Source organism: Homo sapiens, chromosome 2 (assembly GCF_000001405.40).
Source record: "Homo sapiens chromosome 2, GRCh38.p14 Primary Assembly".
NCBI lineage: Eukaryota > Metazoa > Chordata > Mammalia > Primates > Hominidae > Homo > Homo sapiens.
In genome coordinates, this window is record NC_000002.12 from 105349222 (window position 1) to 105367555 (window position 18334).

The 18334-nt window shown below is 42.7% G+C and overlaps 2 protein-coding genes across 17 annotated transcripts in view; one reads left to right on the plus strand and one right to left on the minus strand.

Moving 5' to 3' along the window:
* Positions 1-18334, plus strand: part of C2orf49 (chromosome 2 open reading frame 49) — a 48360-nt gene that overhangs the window by 11682 nt on the left and 18344 nt on the right. For 2 of the 6 annotated variants that reach the window (XM_047445805.1, XM_017004892.3), the window contains one exon: positions 10524-11556. The exons of 2 other annotated variants lie outside the window; for them this stretch is intronic. The gene's annotated coding sequence lies outside the window, so the exon portion shown is untranslated. Of the gene's footprint in view, positions 1-29; positions 353-10523; positions 11557-18334 lie in introns of those variants that run through there. 2 more of the 6 variants (XM_024453135.2, XM_024453136.2) reach the window with 1 other exon arrangement.
* FHL2 (four and a half LIM domains 2) overlaps positions 8491-18334 on the minus strand; it is an 80818-nt gene continuing 70974 nt past the window's right edge. For 6 of the 11 annotated variants that reach the window (NM_001318897.2, NM_001318896.2, NM_001039492.3 and 3 more), the window contains 2 exons: positions 14064-14250; positions 8491-12213 (listed from right to left, as the gene is read on the minus strand). In NM_001318897.2, the coding sequence (NP_001305826.1) occupies positions 12062-12213; positions 14064-14250 (339 nt within the window). In that variant the 3' untranslated portion in view covers positions 8491-12061. The remainder of the gene's footprint in view (positions 12214-14063; positions 14251-18334) is intronic. The other 5 variants (NM_001374399.1, NM_201557.5, NM_001318894.1 and 2 more) reach the window with 1 other exon arrangement.

An 18334-nucleotide genomic window follows, 5' to 3' on the forward strand; every position in this document is an offset into this window, starting at 1 on the left:
TTTCTACTTTGTCTTTTGTTTTGTTTTAGAGATGAGGTCTTGCTCTGTCGCCCAGAGTGTAGTGCAGTGGCATGATCATAGCTCACTGCAGCCTTGAACTCCTTGGCTCAAGTGGTCCTCCTGCTTCAGCCTCCTGTAGCTGGGACTACAGGCATGCACCAGCACACCCAGCTTCTACTTTGTACTTAACACATAGATTCTTCATTTTTTTTGTCTGGACAGAAGAGACAAAAATCTTATTTCCACTTAGATTGTTTTTACTAAAGTGCATTTTACTAACTAAAGTGCATTGCTTTTTCAGTTGTTTAGTAGCTTGATCATCTTATTGTGGAATAAAAAATAGAGATTAGAATTGCCTGTGTATTTGTTGAGTACCTACTATGCTAGCTCTTTCTTGGGAATGAACAAGGCAGATTAAGTACTTGCTTTCATAGAGAAAACAGACAGTGAACCATGAAATAATGGGTAATTGTAATGGTAGAAAGTAAAACAGGGTCAAGAAATGGTGAAGGATGAAGAAAGTAGGATGAGAAGCTATTTTAAATACAGTGGTTAGGAAAGGCCTCTGAAGATACTATATTTTGAAGAGAGCATGCCTAAGGCATAGCTATGGAGAGCTTTCAGGAGAAGCATTCTACATGTGTCCAGTTTTAGATGGCTGCATACTCCTCCCATCAAGGCTGGAGTCAGCTTCCCACCACTTGTATGTGGACCTGGCCTTGTAACTTGCTTTGATCAAGTGAATGCTTCTACTCTTACACTTGGACTTCTGCTTGCAGCCATGTGAAAAAGCCCAGGCATACCCACTGGAAATACATGGCTCACCCAACAGCCAGCACTAACTGCCAGATGTGACCACTAGTCACCTATCCCCCCCGGTCTAGCTGCCGGCTGACTAAAGTTGTATGATGAGCTTCCTGGTGGGATCAGTCCAAATTGATGACTCTCAGAATCATGAGTGAATAAAATGGGAGTTGTATAAAGCCACTAAGTGTCGGGGGTAGTTTGCTACCCAGCAGTAGTTAACAGGTCCCAGACAAGGACAAAACATGAAAGCCCTAAGGCTTACTAGGTTCTTAGAACAGAAAGACTGGTGTGGCTCCAGTGAATGAAAACGGGCAGTGGTAGTATAAAATGAAGTCAAAGAAGGTAGGCAGGAGCCAGATGATGTATGAATGTAGGACTTTGGATTTGATTCTAATACCAATTGGAAGCTGTTTGTTAACTCTGTTGAGACTTAACCAAGCATTCAGTTTAATCAAAAATAGACTAGTTGAGTAAGTCTGTAATAGCCCTGTCTTTTATCCTCAAGTAAAATTAGCCAAGTGTTGTTTTCTTTTTTAATCTTCAGGTAAATAGTTTAAACTAAAACTTACTTCTTTGACTAACAAACATTTAGGAGACTGTAAAATGCTTTACCAGTTATGGTGAAAGACAAATGCTTTTCATAAATATAAAACCATCCTATCTTTCGAAGCCTTCTGTTTTGTCTGTTCTGCCTTGCTATATAAGTTTTTAAAATAAACTTTTAAAAAATAAACTAGGACAGTTAGATTTCTGGAGAAATTGCCACAGTAGTACAGATTTTTAACATACCCCACACTGTTTCCCTACTAACATACATTCATATGGTACCTTTGTTGAAATGACTCATTGTTAACTAAAGTTCTTAATTTTTTTCGATTTTCTGAGTTTTTCCCTAATACCCTTTTACTGTTCCAGGATCCTACCCAGGGTACCATGTTATTTAGTTGTCATGTCATGTTAGGCTTCTCTTGGATGTGACAGTTTCTCAGAGTTTCCTTGTTTTTGATGACAGTTTTGAAGAGTAATGGTCAGGTAAATACCTGGAGAATGTTCCTCAATTGGGATTTTTCTGTTTTTCTCATGACTAGACTGGGGCTATGTGTTTTGCGGGGAGGACTACAGAGGTAAATTGCCATTTTCATCACATTATTTTGAGGACACATGCTGTAAACATGATACTACTTTTGAGGTTAACCTTAACCTCATTTGGCCGACGTAGTGTTTGTCATTTTTTTCCACTATAGTTATTGCTTTTCCCTTCTAAATGTCATTTTTGCCCACCGCGCCCCCCCCCCCCCAAAAAAAAAGGTTATTTCTGTTTCCCCTTTTCATACATACTGTGCTCTTTGGAACAAACTCACTTAAGGAATGCAGAGTTACTTTGCTGGTGAAGTACCTAAATTATTTGGAATTCTGCACAGGAGACTTAAGTATTCTCTACCATTAATTTTATTTAATGATTTATGTCAGTATGACTCATGGATACTTATTTTATATTTTGGGTTAAAGTCTAATGTGTGTTTTTGTTTTGTTTTGTTTTTTAACTCCAGTTCTTTCTGCTTTGGCCATTGAAAGCTCTTTCAGTTCGCTCCCGTTTCCCTGTGACTTATCCCATGATTGTGTTTTCTTTGAACACATCCTTTCTGGTATTATAGGATGCTCTAGCGTCATTTTGTATATTTCTTGCTCAAGCCGTAGAATGAGCCATTTCTCTAAGGAGCCTTTGCTCCTTTTATTAAAAACTGAGATCTGGGTACTAAGTATGCTGATTGCTACTGGGGTGTCATTGTTTTTAGGCCTCCTCAACTGACAGAGCAAGGAAATATATGTACCTATATTAACCCCTATAGGTGTACATTTCTATAGATATTTCTATATGTAACCATCTGTATCTATAGTAACTAAAACATGAGTTCATACTATGTCTCTAACTCTAATCTATTACCATATTGATCATTCCAGACTTCCCTTGCATGTCTGGAACCTCCCACTCCAACAGTGAGAAACATGGCTCCTACCAACCACCGTCCATTTACTTAATTGTTCAATTGCAGTACACATGTATAGAGGTTGCAGAATTGTTAGCCTCTACCCATGTGAGAAATGACTTTACCAGCTAGATGAGAGTGATTATGTTCATTCCTTTTGCCTTTAATCTTACAGACTCCACTCATTTCTAATGTTGCTTAAGTCATATCATTTAAGATAGTTTCACAGTTTTGTTTTAATGAAAAAGAATGTCAAATAGACTTTTCTCTATTAACAACAACAAAATAAATCCCTAGACAAACATCCATTCAACAGTTTTAAGGTGTCTGTACTTAGGCTGTAAATAAGGAAATGGAGTAAATAAAACATGGTCCCTGTCCGCAAGGGCCTTTTCTTCTTTTGTTTGTTTGGGTTTTTTTTTTTTTTTTTTTTTCGTTTTTTTTTTGAGATGGAGTCTTGCTCTGTTGCCCAGGCTGGAGTGCAGTGGCAGGATCTCGGCCCACTGCAACCTCTGCCTCCTGGGTTCAAGCGATTCTCCTGCCTCAGCCTCCCAAGTAGCTGGGACTATAGGCACGCACCACCACACCCGGCTAATTTTTTGTACGTTTAGTAGAGACGGGGTTTCACCATGTTAGCCAGGATGTTCTCGATCTCCTGACCTTGTGATCTGCCCGTCTCGGCCTCCCAAAGTGCTGGGATTACAGGCTTGAGCCACCGCACCCAGCTGGGTCTTTTCTTCTTCTTAATCCCAGTTGTTCAATCTAGATAAAAATTTGAGAAGGAATCTGAAGAACATTTAACAATTAAAGTCGCAGTATTCTGTGCACTAGGTAGTTTACTAGTTATATTTTTTTAATTCCTTGAAGCCTAGAGAAACCCATCAAAAACAAACAACTGGATTTTTCTTGTAGAAGATCCTCTCTTAGTCCATTTTCTCTCCCTATAACAGAATACCACAGATTAGGTAATTGATAAAGACCAGTTTATTTGGCTCACAGTTCTGGAGGTCCAAGAGCATGGCACTGGCACCTGGTGAGGGTTATCCCATGGCAGAAGGCAGAAAGGCAGCAGCGAGTATGCAAAGCACAGAAGAACTTGGGCTGAACTCATCTTTCTTTTTTTTAATCAAGAAATCACTTCCATAATAACTGCCCTTGTGATAATGGTATTAATCCATTCATGAGGACAGAGTCCTCATGGCCTAATCTCTTCTTTAAGGCCCTATCTCTTAATACTGTTCCTATGGCAATTAAGTTTTCAACACATGAACTTTTGGGGGAGACATTCAAACCATAGCACCCTCAGAACGTAGTGAGTAAAATGCATAAATGCTAATAGATGTCAGGGATGAAGTCAGTCTGCTCTTATTTTTATAATGGAGTTCTAGTCTCAATTTTTTTTTCTTTTTCACTGAAAGGTCACTACATACATTTTGGCATGTATGTCACCTGGACATTTCCATCTCAGTGTTTAAAAACTCATGTATTTAGTTTTTACCCCATCTTCATCTCTGTGTAAGAAAAAAGCCCATGTTTTAGGGGACGGTGGGCTAGGAGTCAAGATTTCTGATTTCTAGTGTGTTGGCCTCTTTGCAGTCTTGAGTAAGCTTTATTCTTCCTGGGCTTCCACTTCCTCCTTTGCAAAGCAGATGGATTTCACTCTTATCCTTAAGACTCTTCCAGATCTTACTTCTTGGTATTTCTAGAATTAACCTTATCCTTATCCCTGAGCCTCTGTAATCTATCATTTAATAACTAGGCAGAAAATGAGAGGTACCCTCAAGTCTGAATGGGCATCACTAAAGATGATTGAGAATTGAGTATATATTTTAAGTTTCTAAAGTAATATGATTAAGTGATATGCAAGTTAATATAACTTTTATTTTGCTTTAATATAACTAGTTTTACAAAGTCTTGTCCAAAGGAGTTAGGGTTTATTTATTGTGCTGACTTAAAGACTTGAGGGCAGCCCTCTGCTTACAAATTGGATAGTGTCTAGTTGTAGCAAGTCAACAATGTTCAATACATATACCTCGGGCTTCATTTTTGTGATCACAAGGTTTTCTTTGCTAGTTTCTAAAGTTCTGCTCTATTAACACCACTGAGTTCTTTTGCAGGCATTTCTCTAAAGTTTTTCCAGAGATAAAGCTTTCACTAAGGGCAATATTGAGGGAGTAGTAACCATTGTAGTTCCAGGGCACATTGCACCACAGCAGATATATTTAATGAGTTTCTTGCCTTGTTTATGGTTCATGTAGAATGATTCCCTCATCAGTGAAACTGTTTCTTTGACTTACTTCAGTGACTAAATTTTCATTGTTCCGGTTGAGGGTAGACTAGTTCTATTAAGCATTTTATTATACCCTGGCCAGGTGTGGTGGCTCACGCCTGTAATCCCAGCACTGTGGGAGGCCGAGGTGGGCTGGTAACTTGAGGTCAGGAGTTCGAGACCAGCCTGGCCAACATGGTGAAACCCCGTCACTATTGAAAATACAAAAGGTCAGCCAGGAATGGTAGCAGGTGCCTGTAATCCCAGCTATTCGGGAGGCTGAAGCAAAAGACTCAACTGAACCCTGGAGGCAGAGGTTGCAGTGAGCCCTGATCGCACCATTGCACTCCAGCCTGGGCGACAACAGCAAAACTCCATCTCAAAAAAAAAAAATTAAAAAAGAATTTTATAATATCCTAAATATTAAATATTATCACAAAGTTTAAGTATGTAATTTATTCTACAAGGTAGTTGTGCATTTAAATTAAACCTTAAGCCAATGAAATAGATGTGATCAACGTAAATCTTAACATTGTAGAATGTGTAACAAAGTAGAGGTAACTAATACAATATTTATAATTAGGTTTTTCATTTGCTAAACAGAGAAAAATGCTTGCTGTTAAATGGAAGGAGCAATTCTGCTGGGAAAAAACATGGGTTTTTCAAACATAAAAGCACAGAAGAGCTGACAGGCTAAGAGACAGCAAGAACCCAGAGAAGCAGGCAATCTTGTTTGATGCTCTGTTGAAACTCAGCTGTAGTTTAGGTGACTGTAATGTAAGGGAGAGAGAAGTCAAATCTCTGAGTGTTCCAAGAGGGGAACCTAATAGGTATGACCTCAAAAAACACCACCACATATAAGTGTGAATTAGAAATACATCTTTCCTTTTCATGCATGGAGGGAGGGAAGAAAAAGAAGGAAAAGAAGGAAGGAAGAATAGGAAAGGGAAAGGGGACACAGTGGGGTGGAGGCAGGCAAGCCGACTCTCATACAGACTTGTAGCTAAGATTTACATCCCCAGGAAGGTGAAAGTAACTCTGGAAATGACTGGGAAGTAGTTCTAGTCTGGTGGTAGCCCATGTGTCTGGTAAAGACAATGACAATCGTCTCTGCAGGAAGACATCCTTATTCTAAGTCTCAAGAAACACCCCGGATAACTTTTTAAAGGTAGTGATTAACACAAGTCAGAGTTATCCTTGCATACAAGAAAACAGTGGACCCAGTGTGGGCTGCAACAGAAACATCAGGCAGTAGAGACTGACCCCCAAAGGTTTCACATATTGTAATAATCAAGTAAAGATCAAACAAGTTGGCTTGCTGTTTAATGAAAAAAAAGACAAGCTTTAAAGTAACTCAGAGTGTACTCAAGTGCACTCAAGTTCAAAGTGTAACATATTTTAAACTTTTAAAATTTTTACTGAGTTACAATAAAATGCTGTAAAGTTAGAAAAGTTCTAAGTTATATAGCTCAGGAGAAAAAATTTTGTGTGTGTGTGTGTGTGTGTGTGTGTGTGTGTGTGTGTGTGTGTGTATCACTACCCAGATCAAGATACACAGTACAGCACAGGTGGCAGGTTTTTCTGTAAAGGTCCAGATAGTAAAAAATTGCCAGCAAACCAATGCGTAAATGAACATACATGGCTGTGTTTGAATAAAACTTTTTTGTTAAGAAAACAGACCAGGTGTGATGACTCATGCTGGTAATCCCAGCGTTTTGGAATGCCAAGATGGGGGGAATCGCTTGAGCCCAGGAGTTTGAGACCAGCCTAGGCAACATAGTGAGACCTCATCTCTACAAAAAAAATTTTAAAAATAGACATCAGCCAGGTGTTGTGGCTCACACCTGTAATCCCAGCACTTTTGGGAGGTCGAGATGGGTGGATCACCTGAGGTCAGGAGTTCAAGACGAGCCTGGCCAACGTGGTGAAACCCTGTCTCTACTAGAAATACAAAAATGAGCTGGGCGTGGTGGCAGGCGCCTGTAATCCCAGCTACTCAGGAGGCTGAGGCAGGAGAATCACTTGAACCTAGGAGGCGGAGGTTACAGTGAGCCAGGATCATGCCACTGCACTACAGCCTGGGCGACAGAGCAAAACTCTGTCTCAAAATGACAACAACAAAACACACAGGCACACACACACAGCCAGGCATGGTGGTGCGTGCCTGTAGCCCTAGCTACTTGAGAGGCTGAGGTGGGAAGATCACTTGAGCCCAGAAGTTCAAGGTTACAGTGAGCTGTGATCATGCCACTGCACTCCAGCCTGGGAAACAGAGCGAGATCCTGTCTCAAAAAAATAAAATAGGAAAGAAAACAGGCAGTGGGCAGAATTTAGCCCAGGGACCATAGTTTACAACCCCTGATACAGAATATTCCAACATCTCATTGGTTTAGTTTTGCCTGTTGACATTTGCTTTGTGTACTTTTGTATATGTATGTTTAATTTCCCAATTTAATAAAAAGTCTTAATTATATAGCTATATTATTTTACATCTAGCCAGAGTTTTCTCATTATCTTTGGCATTCAGCATTTTGAATGTAATGTGTCTGGGTATGGTCTCTGCATTTATCTTACTTTGAGTTTATTGAGCTTCTTGAATATGTAGATTAATATTTTTCATCAAATTTGGGGCCTTTTTCAACCATTAACTCTTTTTTTCTTTTTCTTTTTTAAGAAGGTCTCACTATGTTGTACAGGCTGGAGTGCAGTGGCTGTTCACAGGTGCTGTTTTCTCACACTGCAGCCTCAAACTCCTAGACTCAAGCAATTCTCTCACCTCAGCCTCCTGAGTAGCTGGGACAACAGGCGCATGCCACTGCACCTGACTAGTCATGAACTCTGAAAAAATATTTTCTCCTGTTCTTTTTTTCTCTCTCCTAGCCTTCTAGTCCTTCCATTACACATATGTTGGTATGCTTAATGGTTTCTCACATTTCTCTGAGGCTCTTTTAATTTCTCTTCACTCTTTTTTCTGTTTTTCAGATTGTATAATTTCTGTTGTTCCGTCTTCAAGTTCACTGGTTTTCTTCTCCTAACTCAAATCTACTACTGAGCCCCTCTAGTGAATTTTTCATTTCATTTAGTATACTTTTCAACTTCAGAATTCCATTTGATTTATTAAAAATAATTTTTATCTCTTTATTGGTTTGTTTGGTGAGTAAAGTCATCTCTTGGTATCTGTGGGGGATTAATTCCAGGACCCCCTACAAATACCAAACTCCATGGATGCTCAAGTCTCATATAAAATGGCATAGAATTTGCATATAACCTATTCACATCATTCTGTATACTTTAAATAAATCTCTAGATTACTTATAATAATACCTAATACAATGCTTACACATCACTTCATTTGCATGGATTCAACATAGTACTCAGCATGTGGAAGATCCAAGTTTTGCTTTTTGGAACTGTGTCAACTTTTTTTTTTTTTTCCTAAATACTTTTGATCCACAGTTGGTTGAATCCACAGATGAGGAATCCATGGATATGGAGGAACAACTGTAATTGTTCCTTTACCTTCCTTTTTTAAATATGATTTCCTTTAGTTCTTTGAACAAACACATTTATGTGTTCAGCCAGTGTTTGGTCAGAGGTTCTGCTTAAGCACTTTGAGCTAATAAGATTTCTGCTCTTTGCTGATGGATCTGTGTATGCCTTAGAGAATGCTTTCAAGTTTGTTTCACATCTGATTGCTCCTGAGTGGATACAGCCCTGTCCATACATACTTCCCGAACCTCAAGGATAAACCAGATTCCAGGAGGGCTCTTCTTGGCTATCTCTTTCTCTGGTTTTCTGTGTTAAACTTCTGGCTGGTCTGTCATTTTGCTTTTTGCTACTAATAGCATGGAGTTACCAGCCCCTTCCTTAATGGCTCACTGGTAAGATGTCTTATTGTTTTTGACAATCCCCTTAGGCAAAGATTTCTCGTTCTCCGTACCAAATACCAGTCCCCTTGGGCATAACTGCTGGGTTACCAGTCTCAGAGCCTGGATCTCCTCTGGGGGCTGGACAGCAGCCTGCTTCTCCAGGACTGACATCCCTTCTCTGTGAGTGGGTTGATAGCCGCTGGTCTTCTCAGATTGCCCCTCCCAATGTGGAGCCTCCGCACTAAGCAGGCTAGGGTAGGGGCAATTGGAGCTCTACGATTCTCAGCCTGTCGCACCTGGGGCAAAGCCCTAGACTGGTAGCTGGAGGAAGAGAGACCCCTTAATTTTTGGCTGCATTGGTCCAGAATAGAGTTTGTCACATGAAGCTGGGGAGTGGGGATGGGATAGGATGAGGCTGTGGCTCAAATGCCACAGACTCACTGTTCTTTCTAAGACTTAGTAGTGGATTTTCCTGAATGAATGTTTATTTGTTGTATGCTTCTGGGGAAATTTTCAGAGACTTTGTGTTGTGTGGTTTATATACAAGTAATTTCCTTCAGTAGGAAGAGGGTCGGTCAGCTAAGCCCTGCAAACCACTATCTGTAAAGTCCTGTCAGTCAATGCTTTTAGCCTTGGCTGGGCTGCTTGGAGTCTGGCCTAAGTATACACGGTTCAGTTGTCAGCCAGAAATTTCTAAGTTCATGCGACGAACTTGGGGCTCTCCTTTTCAGGATTTTCTTCCTCACTTTCCAGAGGCTGTTTGTCCCGAACTCTGGCCTCTGGTTCCTCAGGCCAGTAAGACTGCAGGTTTCCTAACAGAGTTTTAGATCCCTGGCGGGGGCCTGCCATTGGATAAAAGGCCGAAACAGGAAAATCACCCAGTGTCGTTCTCTTCTTCCAAGTGTCTACTGCCCTCCAATATCTGCCTGCTTTGGATCGTGCTCCAGTGTTCTTAACAATTAAATAAATATTTTGTCCAGAATGACTGTTAATTTGGAGGAGAATTAGTCCAATTGGAGCTATTTACTAGAAGTGGAATTCCCCCTAACCATTAATTTTAGAATGGGTAATTTAAGGTTGGGAGAGTCTATGGTTTTAATGAGGAACAAGTAAGATGTTCCAAAATGAAATTTGGAGTGCTTTTACTTTTATATTATGAAGTAGAAAACAGCAAAACAACTAACAAAGGATGAAATTATTCTTTTTAAGCAAAACCTCAAGTCAACTATAAAACCAAAAGACTCATTCCAGACATTATCAAACATTCTAACAGTGACTAACACTCAGATTAAGAAACTGATTTCACATATGCTCAGCATATATCAGACTTGATTTCCACCAAATTTTTCTGTTGCTCAGCCTATCATTTTATTATATTGCATTGTCTTAGAAAACTAAGGACAAAAAGGTCACTGATGCTCCCATTCTAAAGAGAACTGTGCAATGTTCTATCCCATACATTGGCTCCGTGCTTCCCAACTGTATACTGCTATCTGAGATTATTCCACAGACTACTGCCACACTAGTAGCTCAGAATGTTATTTTTACTGTAATGACTGTGTGTCTCTCCTGCTTTACTGCCCTTTTCAGAAACACTGAAGGCTCCCAGTGTGCCCTCAGTTGCGAGGGTGTTGAGAACATAAAGATGAACAGGATGTCGTCTCTGGCCTCAAGTTGCTTATGTCCTTGTGCAATCTTTCACTTTATGGAAGTCGGTGTAAGATGTGGATCCATAACACTGGGACAGAGCCGATAAGCTCTGCCAAGAAAAATGACCTGAAAATTGGCTTCACTGTCAGTTTATGTTACTGTGTCAAATGCAGAGGATTACATTCCAAGAGAAAGAGTATGGGAAAGACAGAGAAGGTAGCTGGGTGCGGTGGCTCATGCCTATAATCCCAGCACTTTGGGGGACCGAGGCAGGTGGATCACCTGAGGTCAGGAGTTCAAGACCAGCCTAACATGGTGAAACCCCATCTCTACTAAAAATACAAAAATTAGCCGGGCATAATGGTGGGTGCCTGTAATCCCAGCTACTCAGGAGGCTGAGGGCAGGAGAATCGCTTGAACGCGGGAAGTGGAGGTTGCAGTGAGCTGAGATTGTGCCATTGCACTTTAGCCTGGGCGACAGAGCGAGACTCTGTCTCAAAAAAAAAAAAAAAAAAGGGAGAGAAGGTAGCAAGGAAGAGGTGCCTGGTGCTGACTGAAGGCTTTTTTTTTTTGAGACGGAGTCTCTTTGTCTTCCAGGCTGGAGTTCAGTGGTGCCATCTCAGCTCACTGCAAGCTCTGCCTCCCGGGTTCATGCCATTCTCCTGCCTCAGCCTCCCGAGTAGCTGGGACTACAGGCGCTCACCACCACACCCGGCTAATTTTTTGTATTTTTCGTAGAGACGGGGTTTCACCATGTTAGCCAGGATGGTCTTGATCTCCTGACCTCATGATCCACCCGCCTTGGCCTCCCAAAGTGCTGGGATTACAGGCGTGAGCCACCGTGCCCAGCCGAAGGCTTCCTTTAAAGGGTGTGATGCTGTTCCAGTTGGCAATGCCCCAGGCCATTGGAACATTGGAACTGCACTTCATACAGTGACCATGGGACCATGCAATAAAGTGTTACTTAGACTCAGTGCCTCGACCTGTAATCATGATTTCACACTCTGTGCCTGGCAAAAGATTCTGTTCTGAATAACTTTATTGCAAGTCACATAATCTTGGTTTAGACTTGACGCAACGGGAGGTTACAGAGCTGTAAATAACAACTGGTCATTACCTTATTGAGTTTAGAAAACTTTCAAGTTCGTGACATATGTTAATTGCACTTAAATAGACAGTGAGAGAAAGATTTATAAAGGCATCATTCAAAAGGATTTTTACATTTGGGTGTGCCTTACTCGATTACAAAAATTTCAAACCATCTTCCCACCTAGGGCCTAGGGCGAGTTTTCTCTTTCCCTGGGACTGAACTATCACAAAGCACTAAAGGGTTTAAGCAAACGTGAGTATCACTGAAAAGCACTAGAAGAAAGTCTCAATGTGGCTGGAAGAAACCAGAAGGCAAGATTGCCTGGGTGAGAAAGAAAACATAAAAATCTGTGTGTGAGATCACAAGCAGCAACTTCTCTGTGTTGAATTCAGATGTCTTTCCCACAGTCGGGGCACAGGATGTCGTCCCTCTCTGTGAGGAAGCCACGCCCCACCAGTGAGAGGGAGCACTTCTTACAGTTAAAGCAGTCGTTATGCCACTGCCGTTCCTCAAAGGAGATGTATTTTGTGCCACCAAGTCCTGTTAACAGAGAGAAAATAATACCGGATGAAGAAAGTTAGAATCAGGCAACTGGGACTGAAGAAGGAATTCTGGTTTGATCCATTTCAAAGTTTGGATTGTGTAATATGGATAATGTGAATTTCTAGTGACTGGGTGTTGGGAATCCATATGTAAATCAGATTCTATGCACAGCCTGGAGGATCTCGTGAATATCAGAAGAGATATATAAACTGGTTCCAAAACGATGGGATAAGTGCGATCAAAGAATGCTGACTGTGTATTTGTTATGTGTTTTCCCACAAAATGAAACTCCATGAGAAGAGGGAGCAGATTTCTCTTATGTCTTCACTAGGTGCCTCACGTTGCCTGGTGCTCAAATTTTTATGACTTAATGATTGAAGCAGTGAAGGGAGTGTAGAAGAGGAAAAGGTTAATCCTCCCTGGGATGGCCAGGAAAGGCCTCACAGATAAAGTGCGATGTGGGTGGGAATGAGGGGAGAGGGATATTGTCGCAGTGGGAAGATCCTGAGAAAGCTGCAGACAGATAGAATGGAATCAAATATTTAAGGTACATTGGTCCGTGATTATAATACAGTTGGTTTTTACCTAGTGTTTTTTCTCAGTGCCACAATAACCACAATTCACATTCATATCTAATGTTTTACATTTAAAAGTGCTTTTATATAGATTGTATCACTTTATAAAGCTTAATGTTATAAACATTTACCTCAACAGAAGTTACTGCTGAAAACAGCATTAAAGATGAATATGTTCTGGCAAAAGATTACATTTTCCCCCTAAAAGATTCCAAGGGAAATCTGGTATATAAATGACCAGAAACAGATATTTTAACATAGGTAAAGTGTAAATACTGTGCTTTTCTTCATATTTTAATTTCACATGGAAATGTAATGAGCTCTGCATTACACATGAGAGTACTGTTTTAGCGACCTGGGAAGGTGAGTTAGCTGAGTTAGGTGAACTTGGTTCTAGGCCTAAGGGAAAGGAAAGTCAAGGACAAGTACACAGGGGGTGTATAGATGTGTTTCTGTAGTTACACTGAAAAGCCACACAGGAAAGCCAGGCCACCGGGTACTCCAAGTGTCTGCCACCTTCCTCTGATAGGAACGAACCAGTCAACTGAATGCAACGGGATTGCAAATCCCACATCATAAAACTTCTCCTGTGTTATTACAGAACACACACTTTTCTCTCCCCACCCAGTCACTCATTTGTGTAGCGATATGTGGTGACCATTTAAAGGACTTTAGTGTGAACTCCTCTGTTCTCCACACTGAATTTCTCCAGCCTGCTTAATAGTCTAGTCCAGAAGCCTGGTCTGCCAGCCAGCCAGATTTTGGGCTCTCACTTAGCTGAATTCTTTGGGGGAATACAATATGAAAAACTCCTTAGAATGTACCCTCTGCCCTCATATAGCTATGGCCTTGTGGTAGAAGTTTCCCATTAAGATGTTTTGGAGTACAACCGTCCCACTAAGATGCTAGGGGACACTTCTAAGAACACAGCACAGCTGCTAAGCCTGAAAAGGCCAGTTTTTATTGTGCTTTTGTGATGTCACAGGCTCACAGACTGCAGTTTTAGCGATAATCCAACCCAAAGCAGAAACTAAACTGGAGCACTGGCCATATGGTTGTGATCAGGTGGGCTGCAGAGGAAGGAATCATTACTTGCTGAAGCATAGCCAGTGCACCAAGGAGAGGAAAGCAGATAGGCAGAAAAGTCTGCTGTGTTCAGAGCCTTAGGGAGGTCTGGGGAGTTGAGGGATATAGACAGGGTCACAGGCTAAAATGCTAGGCCTTGTTCAAGCTTCCAATCGCCCCTGGAAATGGGAACCCCGGGACACTCACCGCTGATGGGGTTGGTGCACCCAGCACACTTCTTGGCATACAAGTCACAGAAGCAGTTCAGGCAGTAGGCAAAGTCATCGCGAGCTGTGAAGCGCTGCCCAGACAGCTGCTTCCTGCAGGCGGTGCACACGAAGCACTCCTTGTGCCAGGGCTGCTCCCGGTAAGTGACCCCTCCCGTGGTGATGGGCTGCAGGGACGAGGGGGAGAGTTAGTGTGGCCTCTGTGCTTGGCAGACATCTTCAGTCTCAGCTACTGCCACTGGACGATGCAAGATCCTCATCCAGAAACGTCCAGTTTGTTAAGTCACCAAGAAGCTGCTTTACAAACTTCACAGTCACTCGTCACCCTCACCACACGCTTTCATTCCAGTGTCATAGGCCCTGGCTTTCCCGTTAGTGAAACTGGAGCTTGGGGTTGCCCTCAGCCCTTCCCAGGGATGCTGGGGATCTAAGGCATAGGGTGCCTCAGTGGTGTTGCCACCTTTCTGAGCAGGGAAGCAGCACAGTGGAGGGGTCGGGATTCAATACAGCATCAAGGAGACCTGGGTTTGAATCCTAACCCTACTCCTTACCAGCCCTGTGGCTGGGAGCAGGTCATGATAAAGATCTCTGCACTTCAGTTTTCTCATCCAGGAAGTGAGGGTGATGAGGTTAATTGGGCAAGTTGATGAGGAGTCCTTACTTAGAAGCCTGGCAGGGCTGGTGGCTCACACCTGTAATCTCAGGACTTTGGGAGGCCGAGGCAGGTGGATCACTTGAGGTCAGGAGTTCGAGACCAGCCTGGCCAACATGGCGAAACCCCATCTCTACTAAAAATACAAAAAATTAGCTGAGTGTGGTGGTGCACCTGTATTCCCAGCTACTCAGGAGGCTAAGGCAGGAGAATCGCTTGAACCCTGGAAACAGAGGTTGCAGTGAGCCAAGATCATGCCACTGCACACCAGCCTGGACAACAGAGTGAGACTGTCTCAAAAACAAAACAAAACAAAACAAAACAAAAACCCTGGCAAGTGGTAACCTCTCCAATGCCACTCACGAGCCTGTCTCTCCAGCCACTTACGGTGAAAGAAGGAAGAGGCTTAAAGGACAGCCGGGACTAGCACCTGCTGATGCCACAAGAAGAGATGGGCATCTTGGAAGTTTTGGGAAAAATAAGCTGGATGCCTTCATTCTCACCTGTCTTGTGGTCTTAGAACATCTGTGAGGTGAAGCTGCAAAGCCACATGAGGTGGAACTGGCCATCAGTACCTCAATTTTACCTGATATTTTTCTCCAAATGTTGCATCTCACATTCTATTTAAAAATGAGTGCTTGGTGGAGCTGAGTAAGCTATCAGAGAGGAGTGTAGGTGGCCTCAGCTTGGCAAACGAAGGCTGTGGAAGATGGAGTGCAAGCACCTCACAATCACACTTTTTTGCTTTTTATTTTTTGAACATTTCAGTATCATGCAGTAACTCCTTTGGTCTTTACATAAAGCTTGTGAAGTAGGAAAGATATTATCTTAATTTTATGGATGAGTAAACTGAGACTCAGAGAAATTAAAAAGTGACTTGCCAAAGAATTCATAGCTGGTTAATGACGAAGCAGGAACTAGAATTCTGGACTCCCTTCTATCTTGTATTCTTTTCATTAAACCATAAATCATGAAGCATCTTAGTATAACCCACCCCACTGCACAAGAGAATGAACACCAAACACGCTTGGTTGCAACGTATCCATGTGAATGCAGTAGCCTGTGTGTGTAAGACATCTCTGCCTGCAACATGTGTCCTCAGTCCTCCCTTGCTCCGGATTCCATGCTTCCCACCCACATCAGCTAACTCAATGCCTCTGAGCATAGCATGACTTTCTCAGAGACTCCTTCCCTCAACACCACCCTGGCCCCCAACTCCTCAGATTAGTTGAGGTCCCTCCATTCCACACTCTGCTCTTCTCCTCCATAGCACACTGCTCAGTAACTACTGACGGGTTTGACACTGGAGTGTACTTCCACCTAGACTACAGTTAAGTGTCTGCATCTTGTCCAGCATCAGATCCCCAGTGCCTGAGAGGGCCAAGTTCATGTCGAGGAATGGATGCTTCTGGCATGAATGTTTTTGTGTATTTAATGAACATGCACACAAAAAGCATGCATCCCAGAAGGATGTGTTGCTTTCATTTCTGCAAATGAATAAAGCACACATTGGAAAGATGACAGAGGAAGAGCAACTCAGATGAACTTCCGTTAGGTCTTGATGAGAAGAACAAACCAAAATAAAAATAAAAAGGGGAGAGAACAGGGAAGAGGGTTCCTAAAATAAAAGCAGGAATGAGAGCTCAATCTAAGAATAAAGAAAAAAACAGGAGTTTGTGACCAGTCTGGCCAACAAAGTGAGACACCGTCTCTACTACAAAAAAAAAAAAAAAAAATTAGGTGGGTTTGGTGGTGGCACCTGCCTGTAATCCCAGCTGCTCAGGAGGCTGAGGCAGGAGAATCACTTGAACCCAGAAAGCAGAGGTTGCAGTGAGTTGAGATCATGCCACTGTACTACAGCCCAGGTGGCAGAGTGAAACTGTCTCAAAAAAAGAAAAAAACAGAAGCATAAAAGGAGAGGAAATAAAGAGAAATAAAATTTAAAATAACAGTAAAGAACAAATGGGGCCAGGCATGGTGGCTCACGCCTGTAATCCCAGCACTTTGGGAGGTGGAGGCAGGTCGATCACCTGAGGTCAGGAGTTCCGAGATCAGCCTGGCCAACATGTTGAAACCCCGTCTGTACTAAAAATACAAAAAAAACCGGCTGGGCATGGTGACGCACGCCTGTAATCTCAGCTACTTGGGAGGCTGAGGCAGGAGAAATTGCTCGAACCCAAGAGGCGGAGGTTGCAGTGAGCCAAGATCGAGCCACTGCACTCCAGCCTGGGCGACAGTGTGAGATTCTGTCTCAAAAAAAGAAAAAAAAAAAGGAAATGAGAGAAAGACTGAATGGAAATTGGTAAGAATACTCAGCACTTAGAAAAGGTGTGGGCAAGGTGGGGATATTCTTGCCCAGGCCAGCCAGGTACAGGTAGCAGCATTGGGGATGTTTCTCCATGGCCCAGACGCAAGGGTAGAGGCCCCAAGGGCAAAACAGCAGAAGCTGGGTGAGCAGAGTCAATAACAGGAGGAGAGCGAACAGAACCTGTGATGAGTTCCACAGCTGGCGCTGCCCAGGGCGAGTGAGCAGTGGGAGGGTGCCACTCAACAGGCTGATGCAAATCCTAACAGGACAGAGACGCTGGAAGCTATAGCATAATAAGAATTGCGTGTGTCTAAGAGTCAGAGGGCACAGCAGAAAACTAAGCTACACCCTGAAGGGTGCAGGTCGGGGGGCAACTGGGCAGAGAGATGGCTTCCTACAGATATGCAGTTCCCTTTCTTTCTTTAACCCTAACAGAGCCATGACTGGAATAGCACATTATCGAGTAGATAAGTTTATTTATTTATTTTTTTAATTTTTTGAGATGGAGTCTCGCTCAGTCGCCCAGGCTGGAGTGCAGTGGTGGGATCTTGGCTCACTGCAACCTCCACCTCCCGGGTTCAAGTGATTCTCCTGCCTCAGTCTCCTGAGTAGCTGGGACTACAGGCGTGTGCCACCACACCCAGCTAAGTTGTGTATTTTTAGTAGAGATGGAGTTTCATCATGTTGCCCAGGCTGGTCTTGAACTCCTGACCTAAGGTAATCCACCAGCCTTGGCCTCCCACAGGTGATCCACCAGCCTTGGCCTCCCACAGTGCTGGGATTACAGGCATGAGCCTCCATGCCCGGCCAGAGTAGATACATTTAATAAATGATCTGTCCCATATCCATGGAGGCAGACTTTTCTCCTTTACTTTTCTTCTCACATCCGTCTCTCTCTCCTCCCTTCCTCTCCTCCCTCTTCCTTCCATCTTTCTCTCCCTCTCAAGTTTGCAGTTGTTTTCTTGTTTTATTCATGGAGAGAAGCTGAACAAGACAGCTTTGGGATGGTGGCTCCCCTTCCCTCTAACCTCAGGTTATCAACATAAGAACATATTTAGAAATGGTCTAGAAGAAGGCAGGGTTAAACGATTTGATCACAGAGCTCAACAATGTTGATGTCTTTGAAAGAAGGATGGACACCCAGACCCGATGGATAAATGCTCAGAATGTAAGGCAGGACAGGCACAGCTCCCACGCCACTTAAGTATCACAGGTATCCTTGGTTTTGGAAAGAGAACTGACAGACATGGACCATGGAGGCAAACCAGCCAGAACGTGCAAGGGCCAAGGG